This window comes from Homo sapiens, chromosome 1 (genome assembly GCF_000001405.40).
Source record: "Homo sapiens chromosome 1, GRCh38.p14 Primary Assembly".
NCBI lineage: Eukaryota > Metazoa > Chordata > Mammalia > Primates > Hominidae > Homo > Homo sapiens.
The window spans coordinates 168,893,025-168,911,646 of record NC_000001.11 but is presented as its reverse complement, the minus strand read 5'-3'; the positions used below and the strand labels follow the sequence as shown (position 1 = coordinate 168,911,646).

General features: G+C 38.7%; 1 long non-coding RNA gene and 1 pseudogene across 1 annotated transcript in view; one reads left to right on the top strand and one right to left on the bottom strand.

The window, feature by feature from the left end:
* Positions 1–7,742, top strand: part of LINC00970 (long intergenic non-protein coding RNA 970) — a 183,101-nt gene extending 175,359 nt beyond the window's left edge. Inside the window, exons 4-5 of the long non-coding RNA NR_104091.1 lie at positions 3,677–3,788; positions 6,935–7,742. This is a non-coding gene — a long non-coding RNA (long intergenic non-protein coding RNA 970). The remainder of the gene's footprint in view (positions 1–3,676; positions 3,789–6,934) is intronic.
* Positions 12,603–13,550, bottom strand: SUMO1P2 (SUMO1 pseudogene 2; annotated as a pseudogene).

Genomic DNA, 18,622 nt, shown 5'->3' with positions numbered 1-18,622 from the left:
TCAGGTTTTATTTCATGTTTAGCCATACAACATTGTTTTCCTTTTAGTCTTTGTAGTGTTCTTTGCACATTTTTATGTCTGATCCTTTGCACATGTTATCCCCATGTCTTAAACAGTCTATCTCCCCTACCATTCATGTGACTGCATCCTGCTCTATACTGATTAATATTAATAGTACTTCAAATTTTTCCATCTCTCTATGTCTCATTCACCAGATTGTAAGTCTAAAGGGAAGGACCATTTTACCATTGTATATTATTGTATTCCTTATTCCCTGTCAAGCACCTGGCTCATTTTACATGTTCAATAAGTATTTATAGAATGGAAAAATAAATAAAACTATGCCACTATTTTTATCTTTAAGATTTTAATTTCCTAGTGACATTTTTATAGTCTGCAAGGGCCTAAGATCCTTAAGCCCTTGGTGTCAAGATAAAACAATGAGGATTCCCTATTTCAATCTAAGCGAAGACCCAGTCATAAGCAAAACTGCTTTTCTTGTTCAGCTAAGTAACACCTCAAAGATATAATAAAAAATGGAAGAGATTATGGAAAATGTTGGATTCCTATGGGGAGCTGGTTGCTTATGAGAAGACTTGTCTTTGGGAATAGCTCTAGCTACACGAAGGAAATTGAAACCCTCACAGTGGAATAGCTTACTGGTAAAAGTGACTCTCTATGTGTGGACTAATTATCAGTTGAGGAAGATGAACTGAAGAAGAAAATTCTTACCTTGAGGGTTTTGGGCATAGGGCTGGGCATTGGTTCAGTTCACCTTGGAAGCCTCCTTTTTATTTGAGGGCACAGCGCTAGGTAGCAGGCAGCCACGTATAATTGTTTTTAATACTTCTGTTCCCCTGACTTGAGTTGGAATGCTCCCAAGGGCAAGGACTTGTCTCAGTCATCTCTGGACCCTTCAGAACTTGCACAGAGCCTGGCATAGAACAAGCTGTCAATAAATGCTTTTGAATGAATTATTGAATAAATGGGAGGTAGACACACCAAATAGTTCAGATGTTTTGGTGTTTGCATGTCCATATGTATACTCTGATGACTCAACGCTATAGACAGAATGGCCGGCTACTTGCAAATGGCAGCCTGGGCAGTGAGTCCTTTGTCTAGCATTCAACAGTGGGGAGGCAATCCAGAGTGTCTAGTAAGGTGCTCTAATAAGGCCTGAGCCCCAATGTTGCTTATTAACTGTGTGACCTAAGGCAAGTTGTCTAGCAAACTTGGCCCCTAGTATCTCCATCATTTGGAAGAGCCTATAATATTATTTACATCTTTGAGTGGTTGTAAGAAATAACTGAATTTACACATGTAAAATGCTTAGCACTGTACTGGTGCATAATAAGAACACAAGAAATGTTGGTGCAAAAGTAATTACTGTTTTGGACCATGAATTTTAAATCATTATAATGAGGCTCAAGCACATCTTTATTAATCAAAATAGGAACCATTACAATCAACACATTTTTGCCTACAAGAAATAAGTTTGTTTATTCCTGTAGCCTAAAAATTCATGCCTCCAGATTCGGCAAACTCTTGGAAAGCATTTTCTGTATCCTGCTGGTTGTGGAAGTGTTTTTGCTGCAAAAAGTTGTCAAGATGCTTGAAGAAGTGGTAGTTGGTTGGCGAGAGGTCAGATGAATATGGCAGGTGAGGCAAAACTGCATAGCCCAATTTGTACAACTTTTGAAGCATTGGTTGTGTGACATGTGGTCAGACATTGTTGAGAGAAGAATTGGCCCTTTTCTGTTGAGCAATGCCGGCTGCAGGCATTGCAGTTTTTGATGCATCTTATCGATTTGCTGAGCATACTTCTCAGATGTAATGGTTTTGCTGGGATTCAGAAAGCTGTAGCGGATCAGACTGGCAGCAGCCCACCAAACAGTGACCGTGACTTTTTTTTGGTGCAAGTTTGGCTTTGGGAAGTGCTTTGGAACTTCCTCTCGATCCAACCACTGAGCTGGTTGTCACCAGTTGTCATATAAAATTCACTTTTCATCACACATCACAATCTGATTGAGAAATGATTCATTGTTGTTACATAGAATAAGAGAAGACGACCCTTCAAAACGACGATTTTTTAATTTTCACTCAGCTCATGAGTCACCCACTTATCAAGCTTTTTCACCTTTCCGATTTGCTTCAAATGCCAAATGACTATAGAATGGTCGGCGTTGTGTTCTTCAGCAACTTCTCCTGTAGTTTTAAGAGGATCAGCTTCGATAAATACTCTCAGCTGGTCATTGTCAACTTTTGATGGCTGGCCACTCTGCTTCGTATCCTCAAGGCTCTCCTCTCCTTTGCAAAACTTCTCGAATACCACTCCACTGTACATTCGTTAGCAATTCCTGGGCCAAATGCGTCGTTGGTTTTGCGAATTGTTTCCGCTGCTTTACACTAATTTTGAACTCAAATAAGAAAATCACTTGAATTTGTTTTTGGTCTAACATCATTTCCATAGTCTAAAATAAATATAAAATAAACAGCAAGTAGTATGTCATTAGCAAAAACTAATAACAATAAAATAAAATAAAATAAAGTGAGAAATGTGCATTAAAATGATGTATAATACAACCACATTTATTTAAGAATGTATTCCAGTATCAAATGGCAAATTCCAACAATGCAAAAACCACAATTATGTTTGCACCAACCTAATAGCAGCAAATGTTAACAACATCCAACATTTTTTGAGCACTACTATATCTGTGTGTTTATGTATGTAAGTATGGATGTATATGTATGTATGTATGCATGTGTGTGTTCTCATATCCTCAAAGCAGGCCTGAGAGAAAAGTATTACTAATATTCATGTTTATAGATGAATAAAGTAACACAGAAATGTTCAATTACCTGTCCAAGTTCATATAAACTGTAAGCGACAGAGCAAATATCTGAACCTCTGAGTTTACCATTGTGATCTCTTTGTTTTCTATTGCTTCTTTGCTAGTATTACTGTTTTAAAAAGGAGTGGAAAGTCTATGGTCAGAAGTACTAATTGCATTAGGTTCTGTATAAGGCAGTTTAGTAACCTAGCCATATTGCCACACAAAACTTTTCCCACTCTAGTGTGACTTTTAGCACCTATCTTTATATAATCTAGATAGCTTAGAAGTTCTCTGTTTAATTATTACAGCTATTTCAGCAAGCCACTGAATTGAAAGGGAATAAAGCCACTAAAAGATATAAAGCTGTCTTTGGCTCAGATTTACCTCACTGGTTACAATCTCAGCATGACCATAGGTGATGTTATGCTGCTATGTTTATGGTGCTCACTTTGCGTAAATTTTATCAAAACATACTTCTCTTAGTGGAAACCAATCTGTATGCAGGAATACCTTTTGAGTTAGGAAAAGTTTGCATTAATGAAATATTGAGAAAGAGAAAGGAAAAAAGAAATGGTTGGGGAAGTTGTATTTCACTGAGGGAAAACACATGTTTATTTTTAACACACCCAATATTAGCATTGGTTAGTGCTGTGGAATCCATCTATTTCTGTTTCTTCTGAAAGTGACCTCCCATTGGAGTCAGTCACTTTATCCCTAGACATAAGGATTCTCACTTAGTCAAATGGAAACAAGAATTATCAGCAGAGAACATTTACCATGTGTGTGAAGTGGGTAAACAGCTGGTCAGTCTCCAACTAGGGCTTTTGTTTCCCTTTTAGAGCTGAAACCACAGGAAGAGGCCAATATGGACTTCTCTACTACTTTATTTCCCCTGAGCCTGGTCAGCTTCTTCCAAGGAGATTACTGGGAGGAAGCTTCTAGGATTTCTGGGTATGTGAAGTTGGGGATTGAGTGGGGAGGGAGGAAAGGAAGAAAGGGCAGAGAAGTTCAAAATGTGACAGTGCGAGTACCTTTGAGGGTAGCTATTCTTAACACAAGTGTCCACATCAGGCAGTATAGATTCAAGGACCATGGCTGGGCAGAAACTGTGGGCTTGGTGAAGGATGCACAGGAGGAGTGTGAGGCTAATACTAACCACAGTATTGATCAGATTGAACTTAAATCATTTTGCTAGTTATACATCAACACATCTGCCAGATGCAGCCTCACAGCCCCTGCAAGCGGGGTCCTTATGCATCAAAGCTCTTAACAGAGATATAGATGAATACTTCCTCTAAGACAACTCTGAGAAAACTGTGGCAAGGGAAGGAGGCAATCGCAGAGAAAATGCTAAATATCTTTCTTTAGGCAGCCAGCAGGAACTCTGGAGCTCTTGATCTGTCCAATGAAAGCTCTAATGTGGCACTTCTGCCCAGAGGCCTCAGCACACGTGGGTCATCATAGCCTTGAGAATAGATGTGACTGTGCCATAGGAGAATAAAAAAAGCTAAATTCAAAAGAATGTCATCAAACCAGTTTGATGAATAATGTTTGCCTATTGCTTGTATGCTTTTGAAAGAAGCATAAAATCAAAGGCCAAATTGTTAGGACAGTACACAAAGCAGGTAGCTGGTTAGCGTGGCTTTCACGTAATTCCAAAGCTAAGCTCCTATGTAAAAAGAACAAGTAGGCTGTTGAAAAGACTTTCGCAATTTATTCAGAAAGGATCTCATGTTCTAAGGCAACGACCACATTTTCCTTGTTAGAGGTGAGCAAATACCCAAGTTCATGGCCATGAGATCAAATGTAATTAATAAAATGTTAACCCACTTCTGACATTAAATCCCCAGATATTGAGTGTGAGAAGGAAGTAAAAAAGCCACTTCACTGAGAGGCTGTGGCTTATAAAACCAAGAAGAAAAACCACCAGCATTTTTGCTTTTTGCTTTAAATTTCTATAACAATGAATAGTCTATAATTTTTATGGAAGCTGACAGTTTTGAGTATCACAAAGTTAAAAAGAACGAGTATTAGTATTCTCATTTGTAGGTGAAAAAACTGGGACTCAGGCTCAAATTCTCAGAATGAGTGCTACATCTCCTTTTATCCCCTCATATCAAGGCACATCCTATCATGTTATGATTGCTTCAAACTCTGCTTAATATGGGAAGAAGCAGACAGGATCTGCCTAAATTACATCCAGGCTGTCTCCTGGTAGGCTCCCAGATCGTTTGCTGTTATCCTAAAAAGGAGAGGCACAGGTAGTCATAATTCTGGTTTGATGACATGCAGAGGATTGATGATTATACAATAACTAAGAAATGAGCAACGACTGGCACTGTGTTAAGAACTTTCTGTGCATTACCTTCATAATAATCCATGAAATTGGCATTATCATAATACTTTTTACAGATGAGGGCACTGAGGCACAGATGTGAAGTAACTTGCTCAAGGTTAGACGGTAAGTTCAAACCCATCCAGGTCCATACTGGTGGGCCTTAATAGTTAATACTTTGTCATTAACTTTGTTGTCAATGCCATTCCTATGCATTTGAATGCATTTAGAGGAGCAATTCATATAGTAGATAGTAGCACAGACTCAGAACCAGGAGGCCTGGGTTCTAGTCCCAATTCTGCTACTGATTAGTATGGTATCCAGATCTCATGTTCCTTATCTGAAAAAATAAACCTTTATGCTACATAGTTTCTATACGTTCCTGAAAATCTAATGGGGTATATTCGATTAAAGTTTCTGCCTAGTTACTCAAGGGTCTTCATTTTCTAACTAAGGTTTGAAAATATTCTCCTGGCTTCTGTAATTCTGCAAGGCTGTTTTAGTTGCTTTTGAAAAACTAAATTTCTAAGAACTATTTTATTGAGTGCTTGAGCCTTTCAGAGCTCCTAAAAAGGTTCGTAACTCATCTTCTCACATTGCTGCTTGTGTTGACCTTGGCATCCACTGTCCACAAACTCCTCAAGGCCATCCTGAAAGGTGAGTGGGAGGTGGCAGATCATTGTAGCAGGCACTGAGAGAGCCACCACCAAACACCTTCCCTTTGGTTGCTTTCAGCAGCTTAAAAATCACTTTCACAGACTGTAGGGATTCATTTATTCCTCACAACACACTTTGAGGTAGGCGCTAGCATTCTCATTTTATAGATAAAGAAATTAAAGCCCAGACAACCATCTATCTTGTCTAAGCTCCAAACATTTATAAATAAAGACCTGAGTTCTAGCCTACATCTCCTGCCTCTAAAGCTAAATATATTTCCATTGCTTCTTTTAAGGAAGGCTGCATAGGAATTGGCAGGGCCCTATAGTGGCAGGTTTGACTGCTCCACTCTTTATCATCCATGTGTTTTGGGTAAGCCAACTAATTTCTATGCCTCTCTTCTGTGAAATAGATTAATAGTACTTGCCTTGAAAAATTATGGCAAGGCTCAATGACACATCCAGAATTACCTAGCTGAGTGTACCTAGCACAAAATAGATGCTCAAAGTCATCATTATTTTCACTTCTCTATGTTTGAAAAACTACATTTTCTTTTACTTCTAAGGAGTTTGCAGTTTTGTTGTTGTAATCTACTTACTACACAAATGAAGAATCTTAAAGATCTCCTATAGAAATAATTTTCTTGTCAGTAAACAGTAAAGAAGAGGATAAATTAGAAAAGTGAAAAATTTGTCAGTCGATACATCAGAATAATCTGGAGCCACAGAGTTAAGGCTTTCTTGCTATTTTTATGCCTCTTTATTCTTTTAGCTTCTAAATCTCATTTCCATTTGTTAAACTCAGATTTAAAAAGTTAACTCACAAATGATATGATGTAGTTGTCAGGCTGTTCCCTTAGGCATGATGCTCAGAAAACCAAACTCGAATGGAAACTCAAGCAATGTAAAATCTCTATTTAGCATACACAACTGTGTCCATGGTGAAACATTCTCCACTTACACTGTAATAATAAAAAGACTGGTACCCTAAAAGAATAAATAAGTCTCCAAGCTAGAATTTTCAATTTTTCATATTTTTATTCATGTGCATTTATTTTAAAACAGAAAATTTTATTTTGACCACCATCATCATTTTTCTGTTCCAGACATTGGATTCCCTGCTGGTTTCCCCACCTGATTATTGAAATTGATTTCTGGAGTTCAGGAAAAAGCAAGTCATCATATATCAACCTATTATGTGTGTTAGGCTGTTTGCATTATCACATTTAATCCATTTGACGCTGTGAAGGAGCAGGTAGTGTTATCTGACTCAAGTCTGTCCTTCAATTAATCTCACCACCTCCAGGATTCCTTTATGCTCTTTGTCAAGAACTCTGGTAGAGCAAAGAAAATGGGGATAGTTTGTCACGTTCAAAAATCGTATTGACCAAGACTATCCTCTCTCTCTCTCTCTTTTTTTTGAGACAGAGTCTCACTCTGTCACCAGGCTGGAGTGCAGTGGTGTAATCTCAGCTCACTGCAACCTCCGCCTCCTGGGTTCAAGTGATTCTCCTGCCTCAGCCTTCCGAGTAGCTGGGACTACAGGTGCATGCCACCATGCCCAGCTAATTTTTGTATTTTTAGTAGAATCAGGGTTTCACCATGTTGGCCAGGATGGTCTCGATCTCCTGACCTCGTGATCTGCCCGCCTTGGCCTCCCAAAGTGCTGGGACTACAGGCATGAGCCACTGTGCCTGGCTGATAATCCTCTTTTAAGAAGAAGGGGTATATATTTACCTAGGGAATTCCCTAGAGGAGAAGAGGCAGAAAGGCATAAAAGGAGTATAGTAAACTGAAATCAAGACATCTAAATCTAAGACCTGGCTCCATTACTGTACCCCTTTGGAACTTTGGGTAAATTCTTAATTCTTTCTGGGTCTCAATTTTCTCTTTTAATAAAACAAAGATTTGGAGTAATAAAACTCTAAATTCCTTTCCAGCCCTAGGACCTTATGGTCTACAGTGAGACTTCTTATATGATTCTAGTTAGGGTAAAACAATTCAGGATTAATAATAGTTATGTTAAGTACCCTAGGTTTTTAAGAGCTCAGTTTTGATTATGTATAATAATGAGTTTGACAAAAAAAAAAAGTTGAGTAAAGATGGATGGCTGAAACCCTCATTTAGCCTCTCTCTAGGCAGGGGAATGAATAGTTTGCAAGGGAAAGTTTATTTTCTGGCATTGTGCCAGAAGAAAACAGGATAGGCCTAATAATAGTCTAAAAGATGCAAGCACTTTGAGATTCTTGCTTCCATACCATAGTCAGATTCTCAGGGTCTCAGTAGACATAGCCTTGGAGTTGGGCAGGGAGTCTTAAAGCAGCGATCATCACCTAGGTTTAAGCTGAGATTCTTACTTTACAACGTGCCTTCTGCCCAATGACTAATGAATGACACAGACAGTTATGGGTACTGGGAGGTGGGAATAATCACTTAAGGGTGGCAGTGTTGGAGAAAAGTATAAGGAGGTGACTGGGAGACTGGACCTTCTTTGAAGGTTGGGTATGATCTAGAGAAATAGAGAATAGTTGGGGTCTAAGAGCACAGAAAGAGATGGAATATATAGTATAGCTGAGGAAAAATAAATGGGGCAGCTTAACACAAGCAACTCTGACATAGAAGTCTTCTGAATCAAAAGCAGAATTTTGAGGCACTCAAGAAAGAGGGGTATTAACTATATCGGTTATAAACTTTTTAAAAAAGTGATTTTACAGAGACTAATCTGGAGCGGGTAGTTTTGATATCTTCATAAGGATGACCTTGCCTTGACTCATTCTTTTAAACATTTTTTTTTATTTTTTATTTTTTTGAGACAGAGTCTCGCTCTTTCGCCCAGGCTGGACTGCAGTGGCGCTATCTCGGCTCACTGCAAGCTCCGCCTCCCGGGTTCACGCCATTCTCCTGCCTCAGCCTCCTGAGTAGCTGGGACTACAGGCGCCTGCTACCACGCCTGGCTAATTTTTTTTGCATTTTTAGTAGAGACGGGGTTTCACCGTGTTAGCCAGGATGGTCTCGATCTCCTGACCTCGTGATCCGCCCGCCTCAGCCTCCCAAAGTGCTGGGATTACAGGCGTGAGCCACCGCGTCCGGCCGCCTTGACTCATTCTTTAGCATTATTGTCCTTATAGAAAGTAATGCTATTAAAAATTTCATGTGTACATTGAGTCTTGAATTTCTTTTGGCACCTGCTGTCTCCATTGATTCAACGCAAGGAAGCTGTGTTCTCTTCCTTGAGCTTTATGAGTTTAAAGTACAGCCCATCCTATTGAGTGAGTTCTATGGGGCCATTGTCAAATCTAAAAGTGCTTTACAATGCTCCTGAGTAGATGGCATCCCACTGGGGTCATATCGTTCACTAATTGAAGGTAACGTTCTTGGATGATAGCAAAAACCGTATATAGCTCTAATAGCTGCTCTACAGATAAGCCCAAGTGCTATACCAAGCCAACCCCAATCTGTTTATATAAACCAACTATAAAATAATTTGCATGCAAAATATTATTTTACAAACTCCAATATCACAGGAGTAAACTATCTATTGAAAAGGCTGTAAATATTTGCATAAATGTTGCATAAACATGATGGGCTTTAGTTTGGAGTCTTTGTTAACATAAACATTTTTAGAATTATCTTAACCTAATTTATTTTAGCTCTAGACCAATTAATATTTATTCATAACCTATGTCTTTGGTAACTTGCCTAACTAAAAAGAGCCTCTGACATTTCTTTCCCCTGGTATAATTAAAAATTAAAATTTGTCATCGGTAACTTATAGAAAACTTTTTTCACGCTTATTTTTATCTTTTATAAATTAGTATCTTGGAGCTCAAAATTGCTCTTTGGAGTAAAAACTCTCTGTCTAGTTATTTAAAGAATCTATAAAATCCTTCCTTCCTTCCTTCCTCTTCCTTCCCTTCTTCCTTCCTTCCTTCCTTCCTTCTAGCAACTACAACATCATTTAGCATGTATATACATTTTAGTAAGCAAAGCATGGGGAATCAGAGGCAAATTATCCCCAAATCTCTGCCTTCTAGGAATACAAAGCCTAAGAGAACTAGATCTAAATAAAAACTGTAGGCTACATGTAGATTGAGTTGTCCTGCTTATTGAGATTAAAATGAGATTTATTTCAACCCTAACCTGTAAGCTGTAGTAGCCTTGAATCCCTCCCAATCTTTCCAAAAGTACTTTTGAGAGGGAGGATGGAGGGAGGGAATAAGTGGTGATTGGTATGATATTTACATGCCCCTTAACATTTCTTGCTGCATATGCTGTTCCTCAAATGCTGTTTCTGCACCATATTGTCCAAGATGTGAAACACAGTCTCTTTACCCCTGAGAACTTCACTCACACAAGACATTTGCTTGTGTGGTAGACTTTGCTGAAAGCTTGAGATGATGGAGGGGTTTCACACAGCCCATTATTTGCCCCCTCCCTTGATACACATCCTTTTCTACATTGTCCACGTCTCCACCCTATTAACACAGAAGAGAGAAGCTGAAGAGGATTTTGGAAAGTAAGGGATGAGACAAAGCATGAAAGATGACCAGGTGCTACCCAAGTTGTGGGACACTTTGCTGAAGAGAGGGATCCCTGTCCTCGTGTGATAGGCAGAACCTTCATCTTTCTTCTTCGTGCTCTCCTGTCCATGGACTCTTCGGTGTCTGCTTAGCATGAGCCACCAACTCCCATCTCACATTTCAGTGGCACTGAAGAATTGCAGAAACTTTGAAATTTTCTTTCTCTTCTTTCGCTTCTCTGGCATAAAGGAAAGTAAGCACTATACAGATTAATTGATATTGAATTAGGCCATTTCTTTTAGAAGAAAAGAGTGACTGTTTTAAATGTTATTTCTTCTCCCTTTACAATTGCAACACATTTCTATCTAGTCCCATCCTACAGCCAAGTGTTAATATGTTCTCATTCAGTGGATGATGGATTCTTTACTTTTCATCTTAAAATTAAATAGCTATGTTCTATACCAGAGAAGTGTTCACTGGCTACTAGATAATTCACTCCCAAATGAAAAATAAATGACATTAAATACATAATTCTGTCACTACTAGAGCACTGTATTATTTTGTTGTCATAGTCAATAGATACTTGTTCACCTTTTGGCAGCAGTGAAGGTAATTTTAAACTATAGAAAGGAAAAAGTTCCAGTTATACAGGAATTAATATTCTAAAAGAAATGTGTTTTCTGAATTTAATCTTTTAGATCAAAATGATAGAATTGTAAAGTCAAAAGGAGAAAAATTGAGGATTGGCTGGTTTGTATTATCATCAGTTCTCAAATGTTTATAAGGGCCATCTAAGAGTGAAACGACAATGGAAACACGTAAGTCATTTCCTAATCTTATTTTAACCTTCAGGTTCAAACTTTTTATAGAATAGATGAAATGATAGGTACTTCATTGATAATCTTTTCACATAATCCTGTTTATCCCATAAGTGGAAATACTTCTCAAGAGTGAAATAGCCAAATGGAGGAAAAGGTCTTGGATAGTAGCACATTTTAATGTCTTGTTTAAAATTGTCATTCCAAATTATGATAGTTTGTTTCCAAAGATGGCCACCATCAGTGTCTTGTTTCCCTGCACATATGCACAATTGCCAAATCAAGAGGTGAAGTCTAATTTCCCTCCCCTGTTATCTGGACATCTGGACTGATCTTCAGTTTTTGTTTGACCAATACAATCAAGCAGAAATGATATTACAGCACTCCCAAGCCTAGGTCATAAGAAACCTTGCACCTTTCCCCTGGGCCACATGGAACATTCCTCTTGGGATGCTCTTGAAACACTTCAGTCATACTGTGAGAAATTCAAGTCACATCCAAAGACCACATATAGAAGCTTCAGGAGACAGTCTCAGCAGAACTTCCAATCAATAACTGGCCATATGGTATAGCTATCTTGACCATAAAACTCATTTGGGCCTTCAAATGGTTCCAACCCCAGCCACCATCTGTTAGCACCTACTTGGGAGACTCTGAGCAAGAACGACTCAGCTCAACCCAGTTAACCTAACAGAACTTTAAGAGATAATAATAAATTGCTCTTTTGAGCCACTAAATTTTAGGATGGCTTATAACAACAATAAATAACTGAAACAGAAATACAAATATTTTGAATAATCTACCTGTTCTTTCTTTTTTCAACTCTTTGGATAGTCTCTTTTAACCAGGTACTATGCTAGGTGCTGGTGATGGATTCAAAGATGAAAGAGATATAAGATGTAAAGCCTGATGTATTTTCACAAGGAACATTTACTTGGTGAGACAGACAAATGAGTAGAAGAATATTATGCCATATGATAAGTAATATAAAAATGCACATGGTTCTTGAGGGATCACGTAGCTTTGGGAAAACTAATTGACTTTTTTTTTTTGGAAGGTTATTAATAAATAAAACTAAAAACTAAGCAGGAGACACAGAGACTCACCTGAGCAGCAGCACGGGGCAAAGATGGCATGTGGAACTTTCTTGGAATTGCAAATATTTCAGTCTGGCTGGGGCATAGAATATGAAGACTAAGTGGAGAGATATAATTGGGAAAGTTGACAAAGAGCTCAAAAATGTCTTTGTATACTGTCAAACGAGTTTGGATTTTATTATTCAATGTTAAAATTCTAGCCATTTTCATCCATTCATCTTTTATTTTACCTTACAATCCTTCAATAACTAAAAAATAATCATACTCCTCCAATGGCTATGTTGAAGGATCTTGAGGACAGGAAGAGAGTCACATTGTCTGATTTATGATTCAGGATGATGGAATCTTCTGACAAGATTTTTATTTTTTAGATCTTAAAATGCATTCTTTTCAGTGAAGCCATCTTTGGAGTTAGTCATTACTCTCACCTTATCTGTCATCTTGACTCCAATATGCTATTCCTCTTCTTTTGGTCTAGACTCTAATTTTAAAGCTATCTTCAAGTTAAGGAAAGGTCATTTTTCCACAGTTCAGTTCTCTGAAAAGCTTACATCTCCCAGTGAAAGTCACAGTCCAGGAGTGAAGCAATCACATGCTAGAACTTTAGGGCCAATTGGGAAGTCTTTACAAACACTTGCCTTGGTCGATCTTACTTATTGCTACAAGCCTGAAAATGCATAGTCCTAAAAAAGGTGGTCTCTCTGTGCACACATGTAATTTTTAAAAAGGAGAGGGCAATACGAAGGGAACTGAGGCTTGATCACCAAAAATCAGCACAATGAAAGCAAATGATAATGAATAATGAGCACTAGAATTCAAATTACCAGATGTTTTAAAGAGATGGAGTGCCAGTTTTCAATTCCATTTTGAGCACCACATTACAAAAGAACTATTTTAAAAATAAAAAAATGATTGAGGGAAAAGAAAAACAAATAAAAGAATACCTAAACTACTGAATGACCTCATTTGCTCATGATAAACTTCAATCACATCTTCTTACTCCATTCCCAGTTCTTTTATAGTATGAGTAGCAGCAATTCTCTGATCTTCAAAGACAAATCTGAGTGAATTCATTGGAACTCCCTGCCTTTGACAGTATGATTCTTTGAGTTTCTTGAGATGTGTTGTCATTTTCACTTTGAAGTGAATCTCGCTGCTATCCTGTCCAATGACTTTGAGTTTAACATATTCTCATTCCTTCTTATCCTCCAAGTCATCAGTTGAAGGTTTTGCCTCCTGATCTTACATAGGTGACAGGGGCTTCACCCAGGGGTCACTGCTATGCAGTGTTTCTAAAGGCATGAGGGAAGGGGCAGGGTGCAGTCAAGAAGCCTCTATGCGGTAGGTGAGAGCTGTGGCATCCAAGAATAATGGAGAGGGTGGTAGGTAGGTGGCTTCTAAAAAATGGTAAGGATCTGTAAGAGCTACTGTAGAGTAATAGGATTGGGCTGACTTGAGTCTCAGAGAAGGACTGCTGCATAGCTACATGGTCAAGCTAAAGTTTAAAAGAATGACTTCATACTGTCAATAATCTGCATGGGTATGTTACCTTTTTTTCCTGGCACTCAGCAATTCAAGTATGGCAGTGAGAAGGTGAGTAGCTTGATTGATCCAAGGTTATGACTTTTCTGGGCAGGTGCAATGAACTCAAAAACTGGATGATAGTTAAGAATATTGACAAAAGAGTAGTGAGAGAGATAAGACACAGGGTCTAAGCAATTGACAGCGTCTAAGCAAATGACTTGGACAGCTCATTCACGTGAAAGAATGGGATTAAAAGTAAGAAAGCTGAAAGGATCAGGGGCTGTGGTTAGAGAGAGGTGTTGCACAGATTGGAGACTGAATGGGCTTTCCTTCTGGGCATGAGAGACACAGGGTGATGTAACACTTCTAGAGAAGAGATTATGAGCTATCCATGATAGTGATGACATCACTAGTCATCACCATCACTTGCAGTAGGAGGTCAGTAGAATCCATCTATGTCAACAGTGAAGAATGCTAGAGCTGTAGTACATGAGCCAACAGGAGCCTCAAAATAAGAGAGAAATACAGAAATGATGATAAGGAACAGGCTGATTAACTCTGAAGCATTGAGCAGGTAACGTCTGAGCTTAGCTTTTAAGGATCCATAGGAGTTCTTCAAGGAGATGAAAAAGGTGATAGAGGAGATTTCAGATAAAGTCAGTATCACCTGCCAAAGTTTACAGGCATTTAAATTGTTTTCTACCACAATATCCTCAGGAGGTATAAACCATAAATACATGTTCTACTTTCTATTTTTCCTCTTTTCCTCAGACCATGACCATTCTTGAAATGAACTTTCCCATAGAATTAAAATAATCCCATTTCTGGATACCTGAGTAAGTTTGACTTAAATCTTTTCTCAGTTTGCCAGTTGCATAGTCTGAACAATCCTGCTACCTGTGGTTCTTAAGGAAAAGTGGTCATAGGTAAAGTTGGTGCACCAGCCTAATATGATTCTACAGAACTCTTGTTTAACTTTGAACAAATGCCACTTTTATTACTTTACAAAAATTGATATCCTAGAATCCATGATTTCTTCATGGTCCATTTTCTTTTTCTATCCGTTTTTGGAAGCAGGGTGATTTTAGAAAGAGTATGTATGGCATTCAAGGCTAAACAGAGTTGGTGTTGAATTGTGCTAACAACACCTACAAGCTGTGTAACATTTGGCAACTCACTTGGCCTTTCTGAATTTCCGTTTTCTCTTTTGTGAAATACAGATAGCATGTCTATCTCCTAGAATTATGAGAATGAAATGCAATGTCAATAAGGGATGGTACAGAATAGATGCTCAATGTTTCCTCTTTGTGGTTCTCTCTGAATCTCCCTTGCTTCTCCCAACTCAAGCAAATTAGTTTTCCTGAGCTAATTTCTTTCAAGCATATGGCTGCTGACCTTTTATTTTTCTTAATCCATTGACCCCTCTATATTGTGTATCTGCCCCCTGCCACAGCATCACATAAATATATGATAATTCCCTGAAATTGTCCTGCTTTCTTAGAACTTGACTTCTGGCAGACTAACTCAGAAACATTCAAGAGAAAAAGATGAGGAAAAGGGAATCTCTTTTATACTGGATAGTTTTAATAACAGAATCCTGGAGACAAAGTCAGAAAGTGATCATGGGAACAGAAAATAAAGAGAAAAAATGCAAGAACATAGAGGAGACACCCTAACAATAAGACTACGAGCAGGAAAGTGTCCTCCCATGCTTTGCTGAAGCTGAGTGATATCTGGTTAAAGTTTCCTTGGGCTCTTACTACCTTTCTGAAACTAAATGTTGTTTGAATAGGAGGAGCTAAATTTTTCATAAATAAATCTCTCTGATGGTTTGTTACATGTTCTTTATTTTTTTCTGTGTTAAAATGTAATCCGTATTTTAAAGTTTTCCCACTTGCCAGACTTATTTTACATTTTATCTCATATAGAGGTCTGCACCCAAGGAAAACTGAGATTCTCCCACCGGTTCTCCATGTAGACTTTCAGAACAGAGTAGCACACTGTATTTTGGTGAATGACACTCCCTGGGGTTGTGCAAGCATGCTTGCCCTGAGAATTACAGAGGCTGGGTTTTCAGGGACCCAGGACACTGAAATCCCTGGAACTGCCAAGCCTCAGTAGTTTCTTCACCTTTTCCTGTTAATGATCACACCACACTACCCAAGTTTCTATGAAACTATACAGCAATGATAGAAAGATAAGTTTGTAATATAGACAAGACCATCAAAAAAAGTAATTTACAAAAGGAGAAGTATAAATGGCCAATGAGCATATGAGAGGATGCTCTGCCTCTCTAGCAGTGAGAGCAATGCCACTTAAAACAGCAGGGATAAGCCATTTAGAGTGATTTGACATTGATAGCATAAAATAATAACCATTGTTGGTGTGAATGTGAGAGAAGCCTGGAAGAGATTATTCCTATTTTTATTTTCCAAATTTAATATATGATTATGATGTGAGCTATGTCTATTGCAGCAAGGGGCTAATAGAAAGTTGTCCAGAGAAGTGGCCAGGCACGGTGGCTCACACCTGTAATCCCAGCACTTTGGGAGGCTGAGGCGGGTGGATCACGAGGTCAGGAGATCGAGACCATCCTGGCTAACACGGTGAAACCCCATCTCTAATAAAAATGCAAAAAATTAGCCGGACGTGGTGGTGGGTGCCTGTAGTCCCAGCTACTCAGGAGGCTGAGGCAGGAGAATGGCGTGAACCTGAGAGGCAGAGCTTGCAATGAGCCGAGATCGCGCCACTGCACTCCACCCTGGGTGACAGAGCAAGACTCTGTCTCAGAAAAAAAAAAAAAAAAAAGAAAGAAAAGAAAGTTGTCCAGGGAAATATAAAGAAGAAAGAAATCATCCATGGTCACCTTGCTCAGTGAAAACCTCCATTGCCATTTACAATTGATTTATTTGAATCAGGATCCAGTTGAGATCTAATCATGGCATTTGGGATGTCTTTTAAGTCTCTTTTAATTTAGAACAGATTCCCCCCGCCCACACACACTCCTTTTTTTTCTGGTCCTTGACTTCTGGAAGAAACTGAGTTAGCTGTCCTACAAATTGGTTCAAATTCTGGATTTGTCTATTTGCTCTCCAACTGGTCTGCAAACTAAAAGTTAGACGTAAGTCTGGATTCAACTCAAGTTTAACATTTTTTGGCAAGAAAAGTTTGTAAGTGATGTTGTGTATTTTTTATTGCATTACATCATGTAGCACATAATGTCTGGTTGTCTCATTTTGAAACCGCTTACATTGATCAATGGCTTCAGATGAGACAGCCTGATTCTTCCGTTGTAAAAGTCCCTATCATCTCTTCTCTTAATGGTTTTAGCATCTGTTAATGTTTATTGCCTGAATCAATTATTTCATTAGTGTTGTTAAATGGGGATTTTCTAATTTCACTAATTCTTCTACATTTAATAACTATAATTCTTCTCTAAGGAAAAAGATGTTCCTCATCAACTAGGGATTTTTTTTATTTTGAAATGTAGTAAAACAGGACAACCAAAATGAGTATTCCCTAATTTTGTCCACTCAAATTCTTAGAAATAATGACAAACCAGTGGCAAGAAATATCCATACGTGTTCAGATTATGGTTTCTAAGTAACATTAACACTAAAAGGGACCAGAGATTCATGGAGAAGGGCTGAGTCCAAGTCCAGGGTGAAATAAGTAAGATGAACCTGATGATAAACCTTGCGGTGGCAATAAAGAATCTCTCAAAGATAACAGGGCTGTGTCAAAAAGATCTCCCAGGAACTAGTTTGAAAGAACTTCTGCCGGTGCAAGATGGGACAATCTTTACATCAAAAACAATAGTGACTGAAATTGACTATCTCATATTGAATATATTTTAAGCCTATTAGTTCATAATAACACAGACAAAAAATAAAAACTGCTAGAGAACCACAAAACCACCAGCCAAAACAAAAACACAACAAATACCATTTCAGAAAAGTAGGGCACCAACCCCTTGCTCTGAAAACTGGTAAATTACAGGGAAAGGATGATTTATGTTTCTAAATGATCATCATGGCTGCTGTGTGAGGAGTATGTTGTAGGAAAACAAGAGTAGAAACAGGGAGGCTTGGGCCAGGCTCCAGGGACTGTGTAAATTGCCAGGGATACATGGATGATGAGCTAGCCCCTGACCTCCTGGAGCTCTCATCTCCAGTGGGGAAGGCTGCCTTGTCACCAGGCAGTTGGAATCAAGCGGGAAGTATATAATAACAGAGGCAAGCAGACGGTGCCACTGCAGCACACGAGAATGGCATCAAGCCATCCTGGGAGCTCTAATACAGAGGAGTACATACCCAAGCTGAGTCTTACATTGAGTCAGAAATAAAAGATGATCATATCCCAGACCAACTCCAGAACCAGTTGGAGCCTGCTGGAACTAAGGCAGCTGTAGTCAGTACTGACTCAGGACCTGGATAGGATTAAGCTGGCAGGAGGAAGGGAACATTAAGTCCAGCAGAGAAGGGACTAGGGAAGATGGGCTGAAAATTGATCCAACATAGCCACAGGGAGGATAGGGCTGAGATTTCTTTTGTACTACCTTCATCTCTCTGTTTATCTGATCATTGCTTGTAACGGTGAAAGATGCTAAATGGGGGAGATGAGAGGAGAGCTATGAGGAAAAGTAGGGAGGCAGACATCAACGAAGCACAAATCACAGCTGTTCTACATGGAAGATGAATCATGCTATGTTGCTGAGCTGCATCATAGGAAAAGAGGTGCCGTGTCTATGCTGTGTTGTGCTATGTTAAAATTTTAATCACTAGAGATGATATAAACACTGAGGAATCAAAAACACACTGAGAGATCACTGGCCA